Source organism: Homo sapiens, chromosome 15 (assembly GCF_000001405.40).
Source record: "Homo sapiens chromosome 15, GRCh38.p14 Primary Assembly".
NCBI classification, from domain to species: Eukaryota; Metazoa; Chordata; class Mammalia; order Primates; family Hominidae; genus Homo; species Homo sapiens.
In genome coordinates, this window is record NC_000015.10 from 100,381,441 (window position 1) to 100,408,260 (window position 26,820).

General features: G+C 40.5%; 1 protein-coding gene and 1 long non-coding RNA gene across 10 annotated transcripts in view; one reads left to right on the forward strand and one right to left on the reverse strand.

Annotated features, from left to right (window-relative positions):
* Positions 1 to 26,820, forward strand: part of CERS3-AS1 (CERS3 antisense RNA 1) — a 64,976-nt gene that overhangs the window by 8,502 nt on the left and 29,654 nt on the right. Inside the window, exon 2 of the long non-coding RNA NR_120374.1 lies at positions 18,329 to 18,485. This is a non-coding gene — a long non-coding RNA (CERS3 antisense RNA 1). The remainder of the gene's footprint in view (positions 1 to 18,328; positions 18,486 to 26,820) is intronic.
* Positions 18,955 to 26,820, reverse strand: part of CERS3 (ceramide synthase 3) — a 144,289-nt gene continuing 136,423 nt past the window's right edge. For all 9 annotated transcript variants that reach the window (NM_178842.5, NM_001290343.2, XM_011521357.3 and 6 more), the window contains one exon: positions 18,955 to 21,425. In NM_178842.5, coding sequence (NP_849164.2) covers positions 21,273 to 21,425 — 153 coding nt within the window. In that variant the 3' untranslated portion in view covers positions 18,955 to 21,272. The remainder of the gene's footprint in view (positions 21,426 to 26,820) is intronic.

A 26,820-nucleotide genomic window follows, 5' to 3' on the forward strand; every position in this document is an offset into this window, starting at 1 on the left:
CCACTTTCTCTCTTAACTTGTCTTTTCTCATTCCTTTGTCTCCACCGGACTTCGTCACCCCCATGACCTGGTGTTGGGTCCGATCACCCCAACAACTGGAATACGGAAGGGAATAAGAAGAGGATTCCTTCCTAATTGCTAGCTTCTGTTAGCAGTAGCTGATGCCATGGCCCCTGCTGCCAGCTCTCAATCTTCACCTGAGCCAGGTGGCACCCCTTTGAGAAATAGGGTACTACCCCTTCACCTCCTTCACCTGCCAATCTGGGCTTCCTCTGTGGAGGTCCCAACACCCACTGGTCTGTGTCCTCTTCTCAGAGGTCCCAGCACCAACCGCACCAGCCACAGGACTCCTCTTCTCGGTGGTACAACCAGCAGCTTCCAGGCCCAGCCACATATCCAGAGCTTGGGGATCAGGTATAGAGAGCCAATCCCCTGGGAACCCATGCATTAGTCCCAGGGGGCCTCTCCTCCAAGCGCCTACATTCTGGAAAAGCCTCAAGTTTCTACAGTCATGATACCTGGGAAACTCAGTGCTCCCTTTTGGATTTTTCTTAGCCCTTCAACACCTATGTAAATCTGCATGAAATTTCCACTGTTTGAATAGAGTGTCATTCCCTGCTGAGCCCTAACTGATACGCTGTGTTTCCAGTGTCCCTCATCCACTAGACTCAGTGGTGTCAGGAATGGTGTGGTATTTTGTTATAAATTTAACTCCTTAGATGGACACACAGAGAGCCTCGATAAATATTTTTAATCCATCAATGCAAGGAGTGTGGTTGTCAGAAGTCAGCTAAAAGTCCAAGTTTAAATCTAAGCTCCGCCGTTCACAGCTTGGGTGACCTCAGCTTCTTTTTTGGAAATGAAGTTCATATTTTCCGAGCACTTTTTCTGTGCCAGGTGCTTCCAAATGTATCTCGTTTAATCCTCACAACATACCTCAGAGGAAGACATCATTTTTACAAGTAAGGAAATAGAGGCTCAGAGAGATGAAGTGGTTGACCCGGGCTGTCTATCTTGTAAATGGTGGGCTGTGATTCCCACACGACTGGAGTTTCTGGAGTCAGAGGCTGCCTGGAGTCAGGGGCTGCCTGACTCCAGAAACCATTTTCTGTGCATTTCATGTAGCTCCACCTCAATTGCCTTCCTTTCCTCATCTGCAGACTGATTAAATAAAATGTATAATTTGGATGAAATTTGATAAATAATTCTGAATGCATTCTTTTTTAGAATAAATTATCTGCAGTTCAGTACTTTATTCTTACTAATAAATTCCAAGCAACACTCCTACTCACGGGCCTGGCCCTTCCCATGCATTTTCTTTTCTTGCTTTTTTTTTTTTTTTTTGAGATGGAGTCTCGCTCTGTCACCCATACTGAAGTGCAGTGGGGCCATCTCGGCTCACTGCAAGCTCTGCCTCCCAGGTTCAAACAATTCTCCTGCCTCAGCCTCCCGTGTAGCTGGGATTACAGGGATGTACTACCATGTCCGGCTAATTTTTGTATTTTTATTAGAGACAGGGTTTCACCATGTTGGCCAGGCTGGTCTCGAACTCCTGACCTCAAGTGATCTGTGCACCTCAGCCTCCCAAAGTGCTGGGATTACAGGCATGAGCCACCGCGCCCAGCCCCCATACGTTTTCTCGCTGGCCATGCTGTGCACCGTCTACTAAGTTGCCATGGCTGCCTGGCCATCTGACTTGTCACCCTCTCATCCCTGACCTGACCCCAGTGTGTCTGCTTTTGCAGGGCCAAGGGGTCAGATTCTTCTGCAGAGGACAGCCCTGTGAGGTCCAGGTTACGGACTCCTGCTCAAGCACATGTAGGATGCCAGCCTGATGGTGTCTGGGTCCTTCAGTAGTATTCATGGCAGCCTGCTGAACTCTGCCTTCCAAGATCCAGTTTATATTTTAGGGCCCCAATGTAAATGTTGCAAAGTCTTTCCCATTTCCCCTGCCTCAGAACAGCAGCATGGAAAGCCTAGAATGGAAAAAGAGAATGAGCCCAAACCCAGCAGCTCAGGCCAGGAGGCATGCCTGTTCCACATCACTCCACGTGGCTTTGTGTTTGTTGCCTCCACATCTGTTCCAACCCAGCTAGGCTGGTGCAGAAGGAGCCCAGGGGGTCCTGCTTATCACTGAATTCCTTTACTGATGCATTGTTTTAAAGAGAAAAAATCCCCATGAAAGGTCCACCACAGGAACTGGGGACCTCTCAATGATCCCAATAGGTAAGGAAGACTCATTTGCAGTGAGCTCCAGGGGACCTTTCTACAACTCACAGTGACCAGTGGGAATAGGACACACAAGGTGATGCCAAGCCTGGCACAACAGCTGAGTACCTTGACTCGTCCCAAATCCCAGAGTAAATGTAGGGCACCTGAGGCAGCTGCCAAGGGACAGATGTCCTTCAGAGCAGTTCTGGACAAGGCCCTCATTTATTTCTCTCTGTCACCTGCCCCTCTCTCTCTTTAAAAACCTAGGCATTTTGTCTTCTTTTCCTCATTTTTGTCCTACACAGGAACATGAGAGCCACCTGGTGGAAGGTTTTATTAGCATGGAGGACGAGGGAGAGTTTGGCAGCTTGGCAGAGCTGCAGGTTGTGGAGAAGCAGCTGAGACAACAGCCCTGAGAGAGGAGATCTGTGCTTCCCTGGAGCACAGGGCAGGTTGACACATCAGCTGCGGAACAGTATCTGGACCAGAAGCCTTTGCTCACTGTGAGAGACAGGCCGGGTCACTTACTTGCTCACCGCACATGGGGGCTGAGTGGTGGCTGTTACAGATCCATGGAGGCCAGTGGTTGAGGCTCTGAAGGGGACATGGCTGTCGCTGTGGGAGCAGGGAGCCAAGAAAACTGCTGAAGCAAGCAGCCTGCTTTCGGAGCCAAGCCCTGAGGGGCGGGTGTCGGGGCTTCCATTCCAGGGTCAAGTGAGAAACCTTCAGCCATCGGGGCGGGTGTCGGGGCTTCCATTCCAGGGTCAAGTGAGAAACCTTCAGCCATCGGGGCGGGTGTCGGGGCTTCCATTCCAGGGTCAAGTGAGAAACCTTCAGCCACTTGGCAGAGACTCCACCAATCCTGTGTTGAAGCCAGGCCCCAGCTGTGACAGCAAGGGGCCAAAGTCTTTTACCAAAAGGTAAAACAGGCTACCCAGATGGGACGGGTGTGGCCAAGCAGTGCTACCACCTTGGGCAAGACCCTTCTCCTAGCTGGGATTAGGTTTTCTCCTTTAAAATTCCACCCCTCCAGCAATCCTCAGTGATGGCCTGTTGTTTTCCTAATGCCAGTCCCAGGAAGCAAAGCTCAACAAAATCACCTGTTGTCAGGGATAGTGGAAGACGGAAAGATAAAGCACTGGCTTCCACAAAGTCACAGATGGTGGGTGGAGGTTCCCACAGAGAGTTCACGGGAATCCCCAGGCCGTCCTCAGGGCTTTAGTTTACTCCCTCCCTATAACTCAAGAAAATACAGGGGTTTCCAATAGAAATTTAAACCTAGTAGCCTAGAAGTATTCCTAAGGGACTGCAGATTGAGTAAAATGTAAAATATAATATACCCAACTTTTATTAATGTAAAAATGTATCAGTTGACCCAGTTATCCCCTCTCTTTCCTAAGGAGTGCCTCCCCAGTTAGGCGGACACAAAGGGTTCCATATTAGAAACTTGATTCACATTCCCCTTTCCTTTCTCAGCCACTCACACAGAAGGAAAGGCTAATTTTTAGGGCCCTGCCAGAGCCAAATGTCACTTTGTAGTCCCTGGTCTGGGCCGCCCAGAGCAGGCTTCCCCCAGCTCCCTGGTCTGAGCAGAACTTTAGCAAGAGGGGAAACTAGGAGAATCTAGTGAATATCTGAAATTACAATCTCTCATATAACCTATATATAATCATTAGAAACACCAGCACAACTATAAACCTTTCAAATTAGCAAAAGGAAAACACATACCCACATGAACTACAAAATAATCCCAATAGAAAAGATAGAAAGGGGAAACAAACTGAAATAAGAAACATATGAGTATTATTTAGGAGTATTACTCCAATAAATGTAAATGGAATAAACTTAGTTATTAAAAGAAAAGACTGCTGGACAAGATGGAGTAAATGCATTTTTTGCTATTCTTCTTGCTAAGTACACTTAAAAACCTTGGACATTATATGAAAAACAAGCAAAAGAAGACACTGAAAGGTGGAGAAAAGAAGGCAGACTGGCTAGGGCCCTCAGGACCCAAGGAACCGCATGGTGGTGTGTAACTTCCCTGCTCCAGCCAAATGCCATGAAAAAAAAACTGTGCCCTCATTCCCGCTCCTCACAGCAAAGAATGAGTGGGGAACCTAGACTTCCATCAGTTGCATGTCTTTTCCTCTCCTCACTGGGATGGTTTCAGAGGAAGCTGGATGGGGAACTGAGAATTTCACCACCTTCAAGCAATACTGAGCGCTCATCCCACTCTGCAGTGTCAGTGGAAGCAATGTGGGGAAGGGCAATGAAGTGCTCCTACTAGCCAGGGTGGTGTCAGCATGTCAGCAGAGGTCTCAGGGAGGCTGAGCTACCATCTTCACCTAGCACTAATGATACACCCTTCTGCACCTGGGTGTCAACACTGGCAAAGTGAGGAAACTGGATTTCCACCTTCACCAGGTACTAATGAGGCAGCTCCTCCTCTCCTATTCCTCACCATCATGGTGTCAAAAACGGCGTGATAAAATAGAAGACTTAGATAAATCCAGTCTCATAATAACCAAAATGTTTAGGATATAATACAAAGTTAGTTGTTATACCAAGAATCAGAAAAATCTTATATTTTTATATTTTTTGGAGACAGAGTCTCACTCTGTCACCCAGGCTGGAGTGCAGTGGCATGATCTCTGCTCACTGCAACCTCGATCTCCCAAGTTCAAGCGATTCTCCTGTCTCAGCCTTCTGAGTAGCTGGGATTACAGACGTACACTACCATGCCTGGCTAACTTTTTGTATTTTTAGTAGAGATGGGGTTTCACTATGTTGGCCAGGCTGTTCTCGAATTCCTGACCTCAAGTGATCCTCCTGCTTCGGCCTCCCAAAGTGCTGGGATTACAGGCGTGAGCCACCGCACCCAGCCAGAACCAGGAAAATATTAACTTGAATGAGAAAAGACAATTAATGATGCCAATATCAAAATGACACAGATGTTGGAATTATTTGACATTTTTTTAACTTTTTATTTTAAAATAATTATGGATTCATAGGAAGTTAGAAAAAAGATATAAAATGAGGTCCTGTGCAACCTGCAACCCTGCACTCTCATATCCCTAGTGATAGCATTTTGCATAACTGCAGTGTAATATCAAAACCAAAAAATTAACATTTGTACAACCCACAGTTTATTTGGACTTCACCAATTATGCATGAACCCATTTGTGCATGTGTGTCTGTGTGTGTGTGTATGCATAGTTCTATGCAATTTTATCACACGCATAGCTTTGGATACCTACCACCACAGTCAACAGCCAAAGCTGTTCCTTTGGCCACACCTTTATAGCCACACCTATAAAGTGGGGCTGGTCACCAGAAAGACCAAGGCATATTTAGAGGTTGGAACCTTCCAACTTATCCTGGCCTCTGAGGAAGGGAGAGGGGCTGGATACTGAGTTAAACACCAGTGGCTCCTGACTTAATCATGTCTATGTAAAAAAACTTTGATGAAACTCTTAAATGACAGGCTTTGGAGAGATTCTATGCCTGTGAACCCATCAAGGTGCTGGGAGGGTGAAGTGCCTGAAGAGGCATGGAAGTGCCCCTATCCCTGTACCTCACCCCACGTATCTCTTCAGTGTGGCTGTTCCAGAGTTGCATCCTTCATAATAAACTGACTAACATAAGTGAAGTGCCTTCCTGAGTTCTATGAGCTGTTCAAGGGAGTTATTGAACCTGATGAGAGGGAATCGCCAGTGTGTAGCCAGTTGGTCAGAAATATACGTCACAATCTAGGACTCGCAACTGAAGTGAGGGCAGTCTTGTGGATCAGAGCCCTTAAACCTTCAGAGTTGACACTGACTCCAAGTAGTTAGGGCCAGAATTGAATTGAATTATAGGACACACAGCTTGTGTCCTAAGAATTGAAGAGCTGGTCGTTGGAATGGGAAAAACCCACACATACGGTGTCAGAAATGTGGTAGAAACATTTCAGAACCTATGATATATGATATGAAATTAAAACAAATCAAATCATAAAGAATAAAAATTAAAGTCAAAACTATTTCAAACAAATTCAGTTCAAAAGAAATCAGGAATCAAGTTATTAATATTAGTTATACAACTCACAATGTGACACTCAAGATAGAAAAAGCCAAACTAGTTGAGGCAGACACACATATTAATAAAAGTAAAATCCACACTGAAGCTACAAGTATCACAAATAAGATATGCACCAAAAATATAGCAATAAAAAAACTTAACTATGAAAAAATAGCAGAAATTGGAAATCATAACTATGACTGTGGAAGATTTTAACTCACCTCTGTCAAAGCATGACATACCCCAAATAAATATGAATCTAAATAAAATAATTGATAAGGTTGAATAATATCCTGACAAAATTGCATATACATTTGCAAGTTCCCCTAGAATAGGGGTCCCCAACCTTGGGCCACAAACTGGTATCATTGGGCACAGTAGGAGGTGAGCTGCAGGCAAGCGAGCATTACGGCCTGAGCTCCACCTCCTGCCAGATCAGTGGCTGCTTTAGATTCTGTTGTAAGCACGGACGCTATTGTGAAGTGCACATGTCGAGGATCTACATTGCACATCTGTCCTTATGAGAATCTAATGCCTGATGATCTGAGGTGGAACAGTTTCATCCTGAAACCATCCAAACACCCCCCCACCCGCATGAAACTGGTCCTTGATGTCAGAAAGGTTGAGGACTGCTGCCCTAGAACATACATTAGGCAACAAAATATGCTAGATATATTGCAAAATATATTAGAGAGTACACGGTTTGTCTATAATGCAAAAATAATCTAGAAAATAAAAAAATAGATGGGGGATAAATTAACCAACTATCATTTTTTACATTATCATAAATAATCTTGGATCAACAAAGAAATAAAAACTAAAATTATAGACTATCTTTAAAACAATTATATGACATCAATACCTATGAAAACAGTATAAAATGGGCTAAAACTGTGTTTGGAGGAAAATTCATAGCCTTAAACACCTACATATCTAAACAAGAAAAGAAAGTATCCAGCTCAAGAAATTAGAAAAGGAGCAATAAACCAAGGAAAGCAGAACAAAAGAATATAAAGTTAGAAATTAATAAGCATAAGAACTGATCATTTTGGGGGGTGGGTCATGGAGATGAGCTACTGTATAGCCTAATCAAGAAGTAAAGGAAGCAAGCGCAATCACACATTATAAATGAAAAGGGCAAAATAAGCATGAATACAGAGAAATTATTCCAGAGGATTTTGCAATTATCTATACAAACACATTTGAAAAGCTGAATAGAGGAAATTGGTTTTCAAGAAAATATAGATGAGCAAAATTGGCCTTGAGATAGAAGACTACCCAACAGACTGATAACAATTGAAGATGTTAAGAAAGCTTAAAAAAAATTACCCCCCACCCCCACCCCCAAAATCTGTTAAGTTTAAATGGTTTCAAAAGTAAATTCTTTCAAACTCTCCAGGAATGTATAAGCCTGATACTATTTAAAGTATTTCAGAATGAGAAAAGAAAGAATCATTCCAATTTCTCTTTATAAACTGGCATAATATTTATACAAAATAATTAAGAAGAATGCAAAATAAAAATCTGTAGAAAAAATTTTTAGTGAAAAATTTTTGCTAAACCACTACACATTCATTAAAATGGGCAAAATCCAGAACACTGACAACACCAAATGCTGGTGAGGATGTGGAGCAACAGGAACTCTCATCCGTTGCCGGTGGGAATACAAAATGGTACAGACGCTTTAAAAGACAAGTTGGCAGTGTTACAAAATGAACACACTCTTATCAGACAGTCCAGCAATTGTGCACCCTGATATTTACCCAAATGAAACATGTCCACACAGAAACCTGCACATAAATGTTTATAAAAGCTTTTTTTCATAATTGCCCAACTTTGGAAGCAACCAAGATATCCTTCAGTAGGTGAATGGGTAAATAAACTGTGCTTCATCCAGACAATGGGATATTATTTTGTGCTAAAATGAACTATGAAACAATGAAAAGACATGGAGGAAACTTAACTTTACTAAGTGAAATAAGTCAATCTGAAAATGCTACAGACTATATGATTCCAACCATATGACTTTCTAGAAAAGGCAAAACTATTGAGACAGTAAAAGGATCTGTGGTTGCTGCGGGGTGGGGGAAGGGAGGGATGATTGGGGGAGCACAGAGGATTTTTACGGCACTGAAACTATCTGTATGGTACTATAATGATGACTACATGTCATGATACATTTGCCCAAACCCATAGAATGCACAGCACCAGAAATGAACCCTAGTGTCAACTATGGACTCAGGGTGACAATGATGTGTCCATATAGGCTCATCAATTGTAACAAGCATTTTGCTCTAATGAGAGATGTTGATTATGGGGAGGCTATGCAGGTGTGAGGAAAGGGTTTATGGACAACCACTATACCTTCCACTCAGTTTTGCTGTGAGCTCAAAATTGTGCTGAAAGATAAAGTTAATTTTTAAACACAAAATTAAAATCTATGCTAAAATGCTAAATGTGGACAAATAAAATCCATCTGTAAATGAAAAAATAACACACTGTGACCAAGATGGGCTGACCTCAGGAATGCTAGGCTAGTCCAGTAATAAAAAACTATCACCATCAGACTAACAGGCCAAATGACAAAGGGCTAAATCAACACCCCCAAGATATGCAATTCAACACCCATTTCTGATTTTTCAAACTAAAAAGAGGAAGAATATATGTGTGAAACTAAAAGCCATCATCATGCTTAATGGTGAGTAACTAGAAACATAATCTTTAAAGGCAGAAGCAAGACAAGCCTAGTCTGTATCAACACTAATCTAGAGATAAAAACCAATGCATTTACACAAAAAGAAAAGATAAATATTGGAGAAAAAATGGAAAATTATAATTTACAGACAATTTATTACTATCATACATAGTAATAAAGTATTTTGATTTATTACTATCATATATAGTAACAAATAATCTGTAAATGATGACTTTCTATACATAGAAAACCCCAAAATTGCTGAAAACCTATTAGAAACTTGAGCGGAGAGGCATATCTCACAGCTATCATACAAAAATCAATAGCTTTTCTAAGTATTAAAAAAAATAAAAGGAAGTAAAGATTTTATTCACAATAATAATCAAAGAGAAAATTACCTCCGTGAAATGTTAAAGGAAATGTTCAGGGTGTATACAAATAAAATTCCCTATTTTACTAAGAGATAAAGAATTTAACTGAAAAGACAACTCGCTCTTCGATGGGAATACTCAATATGATAAATTGTCCGTTCTTCTAAGTGTATAAATTTAAAGCAATCTTAAAATAGCACACCATTGGGATTTTGAGAGGAGCCTAACAAAAAACAAAAACTAGAATTCATCCAGTTTCTAGCTTGGAATAAAATAAATATTGGAAATCAAATAAAGATGTTGAATGGGCCAGTAATATTGGGAAAGACAAGAGGAAAAACGGATTATTGATCTAACCATAAGAAAACCTATTATAAGGCTGTACTAATTAAAACAATTTGGTATTGGAAGTACTTCGGTGAAACAGAATGGGAAGTCCAGAAAGAGACAAGAGACACAAAATAATTTAAGAGTGGCATTGCAAAGCACAAAGGAAAAGAAAAAAATGCTCAGCAAATGCCTTGGGGACAACCAGCAAACCATTTTTAAAAACCCCTATTTACCTCATTTCTTACACCAAAATAAATACCAGATGGAGCAAAGGGTTCATCAACCTATGTAAGTTATAAAAAGAAGCATGAATGTTTTTGAGTATAATTCTGTTTAGCGCAGACTTTCCAAGCAAGATACAGAGTCCGAAGACTGTTGAAGACATGATTAATATATTTTATTACCAAAGGAAAAAAAATGTCCCCCCCAATTTTATGTATAAAGTCATAAGACCAAAAGCAAACTAGGAAATTTTTATATTACATATGATGGAAAAGAAAGCAAACCCCTTAATTTATAATGAGCTCATAGAAATTTACAAGGAAAAGAGCACTATTCCAATAGAAAAACAGACAAGCAAACAAAAGAACCACAAATGTTCCATCTGCAAGTTAAACACGGTAAGATTAAGTCTGTCAGGCAGACAAAAAGGTCAGAAGTTGATTCCCATTTCAGAGAAATGGCAGTAGAGTTTAAATGTTGTAGAAAAAGGCAATTTGTATCTAGTGAAAAAAAGGTATGTGCCTTTTGACCCAGAAATCTCACTTGTAGAAATTTACCCTGTGGTAATTATGAATAGTAAGAAGAGTTAACATGTACTGAGGGCTTGCTATAAGAAATCAGGGTAAAAAATTCCCAAATGGATCATCTCATTGAATCCTCAAAATGACACCATGAGGAAGATCTTATGCCCTTTTTATAGATGACTAAACTGAGGGTGAAGAAATTAAGGACTTGTCAGGCACAGTGGCTCACACCTGTAATCCCAGCACTGCGGGAGGCCAAGGCAGGAGGATCACTTGAGGTCAGGAATTCAAGACCAGCCTGGCCAACATGGTGAAACTCCATCTCTACTAAAAATACAAAAATTAGCCTGGCATAGTGGCCCGAGCCTGTAACCCCAGCTACTCAGGAGGCTGAGGCATGAGAATCGCTTGAACCCAGGAGGCGGAGGTTGCAGTGAGCCGAGACTGTGCCACTGCACTCCATCCTGGCCAACAGAGCGAGACTCCGTCTCAAAAAAAAAAAAAAAAAAAAAAGTGGAAATTAAGGGACTTGCCCAAGATTACACAGTATACCATGGAGTAGGGATTTTAACTCAGGCAGTCTTGGTTAAATACTTGCTCCCAAGGATGTTCATTGTAATATTTTAAGAGCTACAAACTAGAAACAGCTCAAGCTTGCAACAATATGAGACTGGTTAAATATTTTGTGATACATTTCTAAGGATTATACATTTTTAAGGATTAGGGGCAGCCCCTACAGCAATGAAGTCCACCTGTGCTGATGTGGAAAGCTCTCTACCACCCAGCAGTGATAAAAAAGCAAGGTACAGACCAGCGTGTTCCACTCAGAGCACAGGTCTTTTTGTGTTTTAAAAATAGATTGCATGAGAGTGCTAATAGCCTATATGGAATCTTAGTGCAAATTAGGTAACGGCAATGCCTCTGGGTATTCATAGTCCCGGGGGCACGTAGAAGAGGTGGCCCTATGCCTTCATTTCCACTTCACCTGGGCACATTAGTGCAGCGTTTCTATGAATAAGGATAATAGAAACATAATTGTTTCTCAATGTCTGGTTGAGATCGGTTCCAGGGCCGCCCCCACCCAACCTGTGGATACCAAAATCCCCAGATGCTCAAGTCCCTGATATAAAATAGCAGAGTATTTGCATACAATTGTGCACTTTCCTTCTGTATACTTGAAATCGTAGTGTTAATGCCATGTAGCTAGTTGTTATAAGGTACTGTTTAGGGAATAATGACAGGAAAAAACGTCTGTACATGTTCAGTACAGACCCAGTTCCTCCCCCTACCCCCAATATATTCAAATTCCATCCATGGTTGGTCAAATCCATCCATGAATTCAGAACCATGGACAGGGAGGGCCAACTGTATACACAGAGATGGCATAAGTATGCAGAGTAGAGCCTAAACCACAGACCCCCCAAGCTCACTGTCCTTATTAGTATAACTTGAGTATTCCTTATTTTCATTAGTATAATTTACTATTCCAGAAGACTTTTGTCAGGCAAATAACTATATTGTTCATTTGAGGACCTTCTCACAAGACAGTGATAGGCCTTGGTAGACAGCTTACTCCTTAAAAGCCCTGAGACTCTTTGAACACCTCAGGACCTTGGCATTGCTGCTTTCACCAGCCCTAAGCTGTGCTATCGCCATCCTCAGCCAGTCCTAGAAAGCTCAATGCGGTAGGGCCTGGTCCTTCCCCCACTGAGCAGTGCCGCAGCTCTGTCAAGGAGGTGCTCTCCCTTCCTGCCATGAGCAAGAAGCTCGGAGCTGTCTTAGCAGCAAGTTGTGTTGAGGTTATTTGGGGAGCTGGCAGGGAGCAGTGGATACCTCCTAAAATAGGCATAAGGGTGCTTGTGGATGGAATCACAATTAATGTCAACGTGCTTCCCTTTGGGAGAGAGACTGTGCAGAGAGCTTTTTTACTTTCCATTTTTGCATTATTTGAATGCTTGATGCACATGTATCAATTTTATTACTGTTATTTTCTATGCCAATGGCGATTACCTGGTGATAAGATTATGGGCTTTTATGTCTACTTAAAAAAATTTTTTTTGCATTGAAAGTTCTTATAAAAAAGAGATTTTGGTCAATAATGTCAGCTGTCTCAGGTAAAAGTAGCTAGCTTTTCCTTTTTCATTTTAATAACTTAAAAATTATAATACATATGGAAAAGTATAAAAATCAAGTTTACCATTTCACGATTGATCACAAATTGAACACACCCATGTAACCACCACCCAGGTCAAGAAGTAGAACATCACCAGCATCGCGAAAGCCTGTAGGGCCCCCATAAAGACACAGCCCCTCCCTTCACCTCAGAGATAGCCACTACCCTGACTTTAGCACCATAGATTGGTTTTGACTGATTCTGAATTTTATAAAAAACAGAAACATAAACTGTGTATTCATTTTGGAGTAGATTCTTTTGCAAAACACTAAAATTGTGTGATGAAGCCACATTGTTGCAAATACCAGTTTGTTTCCAGTGTTATATAGTATCTCATACTATAAACATACCACAGTTTACTTATCCATCCTACTCTTGATGAACATTTGGAAAGTGTCCATTAGGCAATTATGAACATTGCTGATAGGATTATTCACACACATGCCTTTCGTTTCTGTAGTTGACCCTTGAGTAATACAGGTTTGAATCACATGGGTCCACTTTTACATGGATTTTCTTCTGCTTCTGCTACCTGGAAGACAGCAAAACCAACCTCTCCTCTTCCTCCTCTGCCTACTCAATGCGAAGATGACAAGGATGAAGCCCTTTATAATGATGCACGTCCATGTAATGAATAGCAGATACATGTTTCTTCCTTTTGATTTTCTTAATAATGTCTTTTTCTCTAGCTTACTTTGTTGTAAGAATACAGTATGTTGACATAAAACATCAAACATACAAAACGTATGTTAATTGCCTGTTTATGTCCTTGGTAAGGCTTTTGGTCAACAGTAGGGTATTAGTAGATACGTTTTTAGGGAGTTAAGTCATACATAGATTTTTCAGCTGCCTGGGCAGTCAGTACCTCTAACCCCTGCATTGTTCATGGGTCAACTGTATAATGAGAAGTGAAACTGCTGGGTCATAATATAGACATATATTCAATTACAGAAAATGACAAACTGTTTTTCAAAGTTGCTGTGTTGATGACTGTTATGAAACCTCAGTTCTTGTCTTCTTAGTTCAAAAATATTTAAACAAGAGACACAGCAAAGAAGATGCAGCATAGAGCAATGTATCACAAAGAATACTCTCAAAGTTAGGTGCAGAATAGACTACACCCTGAGAGAGGACTCAGAGCAGGCTGCTCATAAGGATGAGACAGTGTTGCCTGTTACTGGGGCAACTCGTTTTATGGGAGTCTTACATGGTTATTCACAAGAGGGTGAGAAGAGGTGTTACTAGTAAGTATGTTCTGAGTGGTCCTCAGGGTGCACACACGCAGTAGCTGTACATGCTTGTTCATACATTCATATATTGCATGTCTTATTAGCATCTTAAATCTCCACCCAGGGGTGTGTTTTTTACAATTATTATGAACAAAGGGTCAGTCTGAGGTCAGGTAAAATAAAAAAGCATATGCTCTCTATGGGGGTTGTTCCCTACTGGATATAGCTTTGCTTGAATGAGTTTGACTACAACATGAGTGCTGGGGCTTATTGTGTTGATGGTGCGGTTGCCACAGTTGCCATCCCAAGGACTTGGTGGTTACTTCCCTGACTACCTCTCCTGCCTCAGCTGCACCTGTCTGCACAGCTGGCTCCTCGTGATTGCCGTTTGGTACTATCTAATTATCAATATTCTGGTAGGTGTTTAGTGGTATTTTATGGTGGTTGTACTTTGCGTTTCTCTTGTGATTAATGAAATCGAGCACTTTTTCCTGTGTGTTGGACATTTGGATATGGTCGTTTCTAAAGCGTCTGGTTAAATGCCTTGCTCGCTTTTATCATTGGGCTGTCAGTATGATTTCCTTTTTTTTTGAGACAGAGTTTCATTGCCGTTGCCCAGGCCAGAGTATAGTGGTGCCATCTCAGCTCACTGCAACCTCCGCCTCCCGAGTTCAAGCAATTCTCATGCCTCAGCCTCCCGAGTAGCTGGGATTATCAGGCGCCCACTGCCACATTTGGCTAATATTTTTGTGTTTTTAGTAAAGACGGGGTTTCACCATGTTGGCCAGGCTGGTCTCGAACTCCTGACCTCAGGTGATCCGCCTGCCTCGGCCTCCCAAAGTGCTGGGATTACAAGCATGAGCCACTACACCTGACCAGTATGTTTTCATTATTATTTTTTGTATGAGTTTTTCAAATATTCTGGATGTTAACCTTTCATTAGTTCTATGTGTTGCAAACATTTTCTCTCACTCTATGGCTTGGCTTTTCACTGTCTTAATAGCATATTTGACAAACAAATGTTCTTTATTTTGATTTAATATGATGTTAATATTTTCCTTTATAAATAATGCTTGATGTTTTGTTCAAGAAATCTTTGCTTATTTTAAGATATTCTCTTATGTTTCCTTCTGGAACCTTTATTATTTTACCTTTTGCATTTAAATATACAAAAATCTTGGAATTTATTTTGTGTATGGTGTTGTTAAGTAGGGGCCAAGTTTAAATTTTCTTTTTTTAGAGACAAGGTCTCATTCTGTCTCCCAGGCTGGAGACATGCGTGATCATGGCTCACTGCAGCCTCCAACTCCTGGGCTCAAGTGATCCTCCAGCCTCAGCATCCTGAGTAGCTGGGACTATAGGAACACACTAGCTAGCGCACTCAGCTAATTTGTTATTCTTTGTAGAGACGGTGGGGGGCAGGTCTCGCTATGTTGCTCAGGCTGGTCTCAAACTCCTGGCCTCAAGCAATCCTCCCACCTTGGCCTCCCAAAGTGCTAGGATTATACACCTGAGCCACCATGCCCAGCTCTGTTAAATTTTTATCATTAGTGATAGCCAACTGTCCATATATGCGTGAACTTGTTCCTGGACTTTAATAACAATGTTATTCTTCTATTTGCCTATGCTTGTACTAATTTTGAACTGCCTTAAATATTTTATAATATGTCTTAGTATTTGGCAGAATAAGTTCTCTCACTTTGTTCTTTCAAAGATTGTCTTGACCAGACTTGTTTCTTGGCATTTCTGTATAAATTACACACACACACACACACACACACACACACAAAATTTATTTTATATATTTGCATCTCCAATAACAGCTTTTATTTCTCCCTTTCAAACCTTGTAATGTTTATTTCTTGAAATATTACATTGGCTAGAATGAAAAATACAGTGTTGGCTGGGTGTGGTGGCTCATGCCTGAAATCCCAACACTTTGGGAAGCCAAGGTGGGCAGATCACCTGAGGCCAGGAGTTCAAGACCAGCCTGGCCAACATAGTGAAACTGTCTGTAATAAAAATACAAAAGTTAGCCTGGCCTGGTGGCGTGCACCTGTAATCCCAGCTACTTGGGAGGCTGAGGTGGGAGAATTGCTTGAACCCGGGAGGTGGAGGTTGCAGTGAACCAAGATTGCACCACTGCACTCCAGCCTGGGCAGCAGAGTGAGACTCTGTCTCAAAAAAAAAGAAAGAGAAAGAGAAAAAGGAGAGGAGAGGAGAGGAGAGGAGAGGGAAGAGAAACAATATTAACTATATTTAGAATGATGGGTATCCTTGAAGATCACGAGCATCCTTGTCTTAATAACAATCTGAGAGGGAAAAGTTTTCAATAGTTTCAATATTCCATCATTATAGCATTACAATGCTTTTTCGCTTTTTAAAGATACTATTTATCAGATTAAGGTAGTTCCATCCTACTTTGATAAAAGGGATTTTTGTTTTTGTTGTAACAAATGTATGTTGAATTTTATAAAGGTTTTTAAACATATGGCTTTTTCCTTTATTTTATAAAAATGGTGACTAACACTAATTTTCAAGTATTAAATCAACCTCAAGTTCCTAAAATAAACCCAACCTGGTTTTCACATATTATCTGTTTATATATTGCTGAATTCATTTTGCTTTCTTTTAGGAATTTTGTACCTATGTTCGTGATCGACTTAGCCTATAGTTTTGTTTCTTTCTTCTTCTAATATTATTGTCAGATTTTGGCAAGATTATGCTGGCCTTATAAAGCAAGTTTGGAAATGTCTGTTCCTTTTGTCCCTGGAAAAGGTTGCATAATACTTGTATTATTTTTTCCTTAAATATTGGAAGAGTTCATTGATCTGGACCTAAAGTATTTTCGTGGACTTTTTTTGTGGCGGGTGGTGGGCAGGTAGGGTTAAAATTTCGGATTCAGTTTTGTTTCAGATAGAGCACTATTTAAATACCTATTTCTTCTCGTGTCTATTTTGACAAGTTTTGTTTTCCTAGGACTTTATACATTTTGTATACATCTTCGAATGTATTGACATAAAGTTGTTCACAATATTCTCTCCTTACCTGTTTGGTTTCTGCTTGGTCTACAGTGATGGATCCTTTTCATTCCTAACATTGCTCTTTGTCTTTCTTCATCTGTCTTGCTAGAATTTTATAAATTTTTTACTTTAAGAAACCAGCTTTTTTTATTTGATACTCTGAGCTATTATGTTTTCCATGTTACTAATTTTCCTCTTTATATTTTGATATATTTAGACAACTGATTTTGTCAGCCTCTATCTTTACTTATAAAAGCTTTTAATATAATTTTTTCTCTAAATTTCTTATTAGTTGCATCCCACACATTTTTTACTATAATTCAGTTTAAAATGTTTTATTTCCATTTCTTCTTTGATCTACAGGTTATTTAGAAGTGCATTGCTTAATTTAAAAATATGTGGAGATTTTTCCATTTATCTTTTTGTTATAGATTTCTAGTTTAATTTCACTGTTATCTGTAATCATATTCCATGTGATTTTAAACCTTTGAAATGTTTTGGAAATTGCCTTAAAGGCCAGTATATGGCCTATTTGGGTAAATGTTCTATATGCACTTGAAACAAATGTAAATTCTGCAGTTGTTGGGGGCAGTGTTCTATATATACATCAACTAGGTGGATTTTGTTAATGGCATTGTTCAAATCTTCTATATTCCTATTGGTTTTTTTGTTTTTTTTTTTGTCTTCTTGTTCTATCAGATACTGAGAGATGTATTAAAAACCGCCCAAACAGGATTATGAATTTGTTACTCCCTTTAAGTCTGTGAAATTTTTCTTCATATATTTTGAAGCTATATTATTAGGTGTATACAGATTTAAATTTTTTTTTTTTTTTTTTTTTTTGAGATGGAGTCTGGTTCTGTCGCCCAGGCTGGAGTGCAGTGGCGCAATCTCGGCTCACTGCAAGCTCTGCCTCCCAGGTTCACGCCATTCTCCCGCCTCAGCCTCCCGAGTAGCTGGGACTACAGGCGCCTCCCACCACGCCCGGCTAATGTTTTATATTTTTAGTAGAGACGGGGTTTCACCGTGTTAGCCAGGATGGTCTCCATCTCCTGACCTCGTGATCCGCCCACCTCGGCCTCACAAAGTGCTGGGATTGCAGGCGTGAGCCACCGCACCTAGCCCCTTTCATTAGCATTAAACATTCCTCTTACTATCCACTAGTTCTCCTTTCCTTTATCTGATATTGATATAACTATGCCAGCGTTTTTTGGGGGAGGAGTGGAGTTTGCATGGTATATATTTGTCCATGTTTTTACTTTCAACACTTTTTTATAGTGTATCTCTTGTAAGCACCGTATAATTGAGATTTTTAAAAATCGAGCCTGGCACTCTCTTTATTTTTACACTTGGTATAATTACTGGTAAATGTGAACTGAAATCTACCTACTCACCATCTTAACATGAGTTTGCGATTCATCTTGCTTGTTCTGTGTTTCCTTTTCTTCTTTTATTTTGGATTAAATATTCTGTACCATTGCATTTTCCCAGCTCTTAGCATATGAAACTGCAGCTAGGACTAAAACCAGAGGAAGGCACACAGAATCTTGACTGCTCTTCAGAAATACATGGCACTCCGTTAAAATGAAGATTTTTGCTGCTCACTCCAGAAATATTGAATCAAAACGTGGAGCAGGAGACAGGCAAGGTGCGTTTGTTTTTAAAGCTCCATAGGTCATTCTGATGGACAGTCTAGACTCTGTTTCCTCCTACACCTTTGAAAGGTAAATACAGAAAATGAGGCTGAGAAAACACCTTTAGAATCAGTCCCCTTTCTTAGCACTTCAGTGGTTCCTGCACAGGGTGCAGATGCCGAGCTCTCCTTAGGCTCCAGCCCCCAGGCTGGCTGGCTGGTTCCACCGTACATAGCCCAGAGGCTCACCCCAATCAGGCAAGGGGCTCCCCATGTCAGCCAGGCTCCTCTTATCTGGTGTCTGACACCGCAAACGCAGCAGCCCGAATATCCCAACCTGGCTTCCTTCTCCTCACTGCTTCCCTGATTCCTGGCATGGCCCTTCCGGAGGAATGGCAAATCTTTATTTCCACTACACAGGGAGACCTGTTATTATCCCTAAGAAGCCAAGCAATGTGTGTGCTGAATCTACTCAATCACCAGGTACACTGGACTTTTGGCTTTATTGTAGTCATTACTGTTACAATATTGATAGCACTGTGGACTGCATTTTTATAAGGTCATCTGAAGAATCCTGAGCCCTTGTTTCCTGTAGAAAGAGTGGTTTCCTTTAAAATTAACCACAAAAGCCCTAAATAGTGTTACAAAAATGAGTATCTACTTCTTATGAAGTAGTTTAGTGCTTTCAGCTGTATCAGAAATAGTTAAAATTGGTATATCAATTTTACCTTCAACATTCAAATAAGAAAAAAAACTGGAGATAGAGGTAAACAAATACTTTTCTACCTTAAGCAAGAAGATATTTGGTACAGAGACAAAAACCAAATAAGCAAAGAAGAAAGCATACCGTTAACTGAAAACATAAAAAATTATATCTTAGTGTGACCTTCTTCCAGCAAAATAATAATAATATAATATTAATAATAAGTCAATAGCTATACCCTAAAGTGGGTGCAGGCATTTTGATTTATAATATCATATTATGCATATAATGCATATGATATTGTCCTCATAAAAGCAAATGTTATACAGAGAAAATCTGACCTTGTTTGTAACAATTTCTCAGAAAGAGATATTGTTGTGGAAAGAATTCTAAAGGATTTTTTGTTTATTTTTGTTTAGCCTTAAGGTTTCAAATGTATATTTTTATTTAAAAATAACAATAACGCAGTCTGTTCTGTGCAGTGTCCTTCCGGCTCCAGGGGCCCTGCAGCTGCTCTGCTTGGGGCTGATTTTCCAGTCCCTACAAGCCGACCTCTCCTGTGGCTTTCTAGTACGAGCCCCTGAATAAATAGGATGAACATACAAAATCTGACCGTTATGAGAGACTGTGCCAGGTGGTGAGGACAGATGCAGATTTTACTCAGGGTCTTCCTTGGGAAGGCCTGGCCTCTCCTCAGCCAGCAGCCACCTGAGAAGTCTCCCAGGTCAGCCCTGCACATTGTGCCCAGGAGATGTGTCCCTCTGGTGACAAGGCCGCAAGGGAGGCAGGGACGTGTGCAAGTCTTCTCCGGTGCTCCCTTCCGGAGGGTGAGGACAAGCTGGCTACTGATCTGCCCGTCCCTATCCCTCCTCCCAGGGAGCTGGCACTGACTCTAGCACCTGCCCTTAAACATTTCTCAGGGGTATGCCTTTTATGGCCTTTTGTGTTGTGTTTCACTGTGATGCAGGCTGATTGGGTTGGAAGCCAGAGGAAATCACGTAGCATCCTCTGTTCCCAAGATCTCCCCTGGGTCTGGCAGTGTACATGCGTGCCCTCCCCAGAGGCTCAGGCCTCCTGGGTGATGAGGCTCAGCAAGCAACCTGGCCTGGATCCCATTCCCCCGTGGAGGTCCCCAGGTACTGTGCTGGCCTGAAGGAAGGGCTCAGGGCAGCAGCACAGAAGCTTCCCTCCTAGAAAGGAAAAAAGGGAAAGACCAGCAAAGGACAGGAAGGAACAGGGCCTAAGCTTCCTTCCTTGAACCATGGGTCCTGAGGGAGAAGAATTCCAGGAGAATCTGAGAATGACCCTTGGGGAGCTAATGCATAAATAGTTAGCAAATAAAATGGAACACCTTTCTTGGCACTTTCATTTCCAGGTATCTCCAGAGTCATTTAAGAGGAATTTTTAAAGATTCTGCCTTTTGTTCAGGCCCATTGCAGTGCCATGTTTAGCCAGGTTTCTGTCTCCCAAACAGTGCAAAGTGGGTTGGTTCACGATGACCCCACGGTTGACAGTGTGTACTTAAACTTCTGTGATCTCACTTAATCCTTGCTGTAACCCTGTGGGGTGGCAGGCAGGGACTGCCACCGCCCTGTGGAGATGAGGCACCTAAGCTTCAGGATGGAAGTGTCTCCTGGTGTGGTCCTTCCGCTCCTGTCCCACTGCCACTTCTAACTCATTTTGAGAAAGAAGCTGCTCTTTGTGGCCAAACACACCTGGGAAAAATGAGATCACTTAGCACCTGTGAAAGCGTCCTGAGGACAGGCAAGGTGGCGAGGCGAAAGGGTCTATAACAAAGCGAGCCCCTGAGAAAGTGACATGCATGAGGGAGTGCAATTAGAACTGAGACGGTTCTGTGGAGAAATCTTTGAAATCTTTGACCAGTCTGAGTCCTAACTGCAGTAAAAATCCATGGGCATGCTTATATTTAACATTTTAACACAAGTTAACAACATTTTGGTAAACACATCTTAGGTGGGAGGGAAGGCGGTGGTGAGAAAGAGGGAAGGGCAGAATGTGGGGTCGGTGTGGGGCCTGGAAGCCAGGCTGCCAACAGTACTTGCAGCATGCTGTGCCATGGGAGTCCTGTAGGCTTCCAGCTAATGGCCATGCTGGCCATTGGGAATGAGGTGCCTCTCAGCCCTGAGGCCGTTCTTTAAACAATCCATCTCTTTGCCTTTGGTAGCCTCTTCTTCTTCCTCTTCCTCTTCCTCTTCATAATCCTCGTCATCACTCCTCACATCCTGGATGCTCTAGACAAAGGAAAGAATTGGCTGTGAGTGACAATCTTCCAGGAAGAGTCTTGAGTAAATCTGCCAACAGCCAGTTTCAAGTATGGCTCCCTTTAAGGAAAACCCAATATCCAAATAACTAAACATTCACCAAGATTGACTATATCATGGATCATAAAGCCAACCTTAACAAACCTAAATAATTGACATTACACGAAGCATATTTCTAGACCATAATGGAATTAAGCTAGAAACCAATATCAAAAATAGGGAAATTTCAAAACACTTAGAAAGTAAATAAGATCCTTCTAAACAATCGCTGGGTCAAAGGGTAAGATTCAAAGAATATTAGAAAATATTTTAAACTAAATGAAAATGAAAATGCAACATATCAAAATTTGTTCAATGCAGCTAAAATATGCTTAAAAGGAAATACATAGCTTTACATGTTTATATTCAATAAGAAAAAAAGTTTCAAACAATTTCAGCTTCAACTTTAAGAATCTAGAAAAAAAGAAGAGCCAAATAAACCCAAGGCAAGCAAAAGGAAGGAAATAATTAGGACAAAACAATTAATGAAACTGAAAACAGAAAAAACAATAAGGAAAACCAATAAACCCAAAAGCCAATTCTTTGAAAAGATCTAATAACTCACTAGCAAGACTGATAAAGAAAAAAGAGGGAAAGCACAAATTAACAGTAAAGAAAAAGAAGACATGACTATAGATACTGCAGACAATATAAGAATAACAACAGAATGCTATGAACAACTCTATGCATATACATTTGACAACTTAGATAAAATGGACCAATTTCTCAAAAACTACAAACTACTAAAACTTGCCCCAGCCGAAACAGGTAATCTGGATAGTCATATAACTATGAAGGACATTTAATTTGTAATCAAAAACCTGAAAAACAGCAGCACTAGGTCCAAATGTTTACACTGGTAAATTCTATGAAACACACAAAGGAGAAATAACACAAAACATCCACAATCACTTCCAGAAAATAGAAGAGGAGGGAACAGGTCTCATTTTATTTTATGAGGCCAGAATTACCCTGTGTAAAGTTTTTGCAGATGTGATTAAGATCCTTGAGATGAGAATAGTATCCTAGATTATGTAAGTGGGCCCTCTATGGCATCACAAGTGGTCCTTATAAAAACAGAGGCAGAGGAAGGGCCAACACACAGAAGAGAGGCAATGTGAAGACAGAGAAGAGACTGGAATGATGCAGTTACAAGCCAAGAAATGCTGGCAGCCACCAGAAGCTAGAAGCAGCAAAGAACAGATGCTCCTCTAGTGCTTCTGAAAAGAACACGACCCTGCTAACTGACACCTTGATTTTGGCTCAAAACTAATTATGGACTTCTGACCTCTTGAACTGTGAGAGAATACATTTCTGTTATTTTGAGCACCAAATTTGTAGAAATTTGTTACAGTCACCATAGAAATTAATACAACTAGCAGTGGCCAATTAAAAACTGAAATTTAAAAATCTGTGCCATTTATAATAGTTTCAAAAATCAAATACCTAGGTATACATCTAACAAACCATGTATAGGATCTGTATGTAAAACCTACAAAATTCAGAGAGAAATCTGAAATTCTTTGAAAGAAATCAAAGAAGACCTAAATAGTTGGAGAGACATACTATGTTCATGAATTGGAAGACTGAACATAATGAAAGTATTAATTATCCCCAAATTATCCTGTAGATTCCACGCAATACTAATCAATGTCCCAGCAGAATTTTCTGTAGATGCAGACAATGTAATTCTAAAATTTATATGGAGAGGCAAAGGAACTCGAATAGCTAAAGCAATTCTGAAAAACATAATAAAATGGGAGGACTCACACTGCCAGATTTTAAGACTTATATAAAGTTACAGTAATCCAGACAGGGTGGTGTTCACAAAGGAATAAACATGCAGATCAGTGGAACAGAATGGAGGCTCTAGAAATAGATCCACACAAATATGGCTGATTGAATTTTTACAAAGGTTCAAAGCAATTCAGTAGAGAAAGAACAGTCTTTTCAACAAATGGTCAGAGCAACTGGACATCTGTAAGCAAATAAGTAAACTTTGACTAAAATGTCATACATTGTACAAAAGCCAGCTTAATGGATCTAAATGTAAAATATAAAACTTTAAAACTTTTAGAAGAAAACCCATGACCTTGATCTGGGCAACGAGTTCTTAAACACGGCACTAAAAACATGAAAGAAAAAACTGGCAAACTGGAATTCATCAAAATTAAAAACTTTTGCCCTAAGACAGACACTATTCAGAGAATGAAAGGATAAGCTGCAAACTGGGAGATAATATTTGCAAATCACATATCCAATTTGTATGCATAATAAAGAACTCTCAAAACTCAATGGTAAAAAAAAAAAAAAACAAAAAAAAACCCCTAATTTAAAAAATGGGCAAAAGGCATACAAAGAGACACTTTATCAAAGAGGACACAGGATGACAAATAAGCATATGAAAGGATGTTCAACACCATTAGTCATTAGGAAAATGCAAATGGAAACCATGATGATGTACAACTACAAACCCATTAGAATAGCACAAGTTAAAATGACTGGCAATACCAAGCACTGACAAGGACGCAAAACAATTGGAACACCCACACAATGAAATGCTCCTAACAATAAAAAGGAACAAACTGTTGACATTTATAAGAAGTTTGATGAATCTTAAAGACATTATGCTGAGTAAAAAAATGTTAGTTTCAAAATATGATCTATTGTACAACACATGAATATCATTTTCATGACATTCTCAAAAAGATAAAACTATAGGGATGGATAACAGGTAAGTGGTTGCTGGAACTGGGTTACAGGAAAGAGTTATTTGGGTTGATGAAATGATGCTGTGTATCCTGATTATGGGGATGGCTGCACAAATATACACACATGTTAAAATTCACAAAACTCTACATCAACAGAAAAATGTCCATTTTCCTGATAATAATTTTAAAAATAAAACTTATAAGGATTTCTTTTTAAAAAGCAAATACTGTGGGTTTCCCCACTAACACTTGCAAAGTAAAGTACTACTCATGTGGGCATTTTGGTTGTCAGGATATTTTTATTACTTGTAATTAGAATGTTTTCTATTTTCTTCATGCAAGAACTCTTTCAAGGACAGTTACTCATTATGAGTTATATGTTTCCTCCTCTTCTCTCATGGTGTCTCAAAGTAATTTTGCAGAGAAATCTAGAAAAATAACATTGCCCCGAGGAAAGGAGATGGAGGTGCTATAGATCCACCCTCATTGTGGAAGATAAAGGATGATATGAATTATTAAAACAAATAAGATAACTCAAGCTCTGTGCATGTCCAGTGATAGACATGACCCCAGGATCACCCTCTAGGCCAGTTCACAAATGTCTCTATTAAACCCAGCTTAGAAAAGAAAAAAAGATATGGAAGATGAAGACTGTTTCTTCTCACATCATTTTTCAAGATGACATCCATAACTGTACAACTTCTTTTTTCCCTTTTGTGACCTGCAGACTAAAACTGGCCACCTCCCAAGAGTCTCAGCATATATGTAACCAAATACCTCTGTGTGTAATCTGAACATGGCTTTTGAAAAACCAAAGTGCCCACATTATGCTAGCTGAATCACAGAAATTCAACTTCATGGGGCTCATCTCTGTATGTTCGGTGCTTTTCCACAACACCACAGAAAGGGTGTCAAAATGAACAAGCCTCCTTGTAAACACTGAGGAATAAACTTGGCATCTCCTCAGTTAAGATGCATCAGAGAAAGGCAAGCTTTCTCTGATATGCTGGGAGCCAGGATCAAAAGCACTCCCTCCTACAGATGAAGCCTTTCAGGAAAGGGCCATGCTTGGTTGATGCTTGCATAGTCAGTGCCTCTTCCTTTCTCAAAAGATTTCTGTAGAGAACAAGGGTATATTAATCTCTTTCCACGCTGCTGATAAAGACATACCCGAGACTGGGAAGAAAAAAAGGTTTAATGAACTTACAGTTCCACACTGGCTGGGAGGCCTCACAATCATGGCAGAAAGCAAGGAGGAGCAAGTCACATCTTACATGGATGGCAGCGGGCAAAGAGAGAGAGAGAGCTTGTGCAGGGGAACTCCTCTTTTTGACACCATCAGATCTTGTGAGACTTATTCACTATTGCGAGAACAGCACGGGAAAGACCCACTCCCATGATTCAATTACCTCCCACTGGGTCCCTCCCATGATACATGGGAATTGTGGGAGTTACAATTCAAGATGAGTTTTGGGTGGGGACACAGCCAAACCATATCAGAGGGGAAACTCAAATCAGAACAAAGAACCTAATTTCTCTCCAGAAAGGCATACCAGCATCTACCCACCCATCTCTGCAAGACTTAAAGAGCTGTGTTAGCTAAGAAAGAAACCAGTCCTTGAGGGCGCCACCCCATCTGCTCCCAACCACACACCCTCCAGCTGTTTGCCTTTAACAAGAGATCCCAACTGTATAGGGCCTGTTGGAACTTTATAGCATCTTGGCAGTCACAAAGGTTAGAGAATACTACTGATGTTTAGGGAGCAAAGGCTAGGGATGCTGGCAGTCCTGCAATGTGCTGACATTCACATGTCCCGTCAGGCATGCACATAGGTGAAAACCCTGTCTGTAACTATCCAAGCCTAGAATCTGACTCCTTTGTGCATTCAAGCACAATAATTTTTTGCATGGTTTTAATATATTCTGAATTTTCCAGGATTGCAACTGCGTATATAAGTCAAAGTAAGACTATACAGTTTGCCCTCCATATCTGTGGGTTCCACATTTGTCAAAAATATTCAGGAAAAAAAAAGAATGGTTGTATCAGTACTGGACATTTATAGATTCTTGTCATTCCCTAAAAAATGTAGTACAACAACTATTTACACAGCATCTACATGGTATTAGGTATTGTAAGTAATCTAGAGATAATTTAAAGTATATAGGAGGCAGTGTGTAGGTTACATGCAAATGCAACACCATTTTATTTATTTATTTATTTTTAAAAATTATTTATTTATTTTGAGACGGAGTTTTGTTCTTGTTGCCCAGGCTGGAGTGCAATGGTGCAATCTTGGCTCCCTGCAACCTCTGCCTCCAAGGTTCAAGTGATTCTCCTGCCTCAGCCCCCTGAGTAGCTGGGATTACAGGCGGCCACCACTGTGCCTGGCTAATGTTTATATTTTTAGTAGAGATGGGGTTTCACTATGTTGGCCAGGCTGGTCTTGAACTCCTGACCTCAAGTGATCCACCCACCCTGGCCTCCCAAAGTGCTGGGATTACAGGTGTAAGCCACCACACTCGGCCAATTTTATATGAGGCACTTGAGCATCCTCAGATTTTGGTATGTGTGGGTAGTCCTGGAACCAATCCCCCATGGATACCGAGGGAAATAT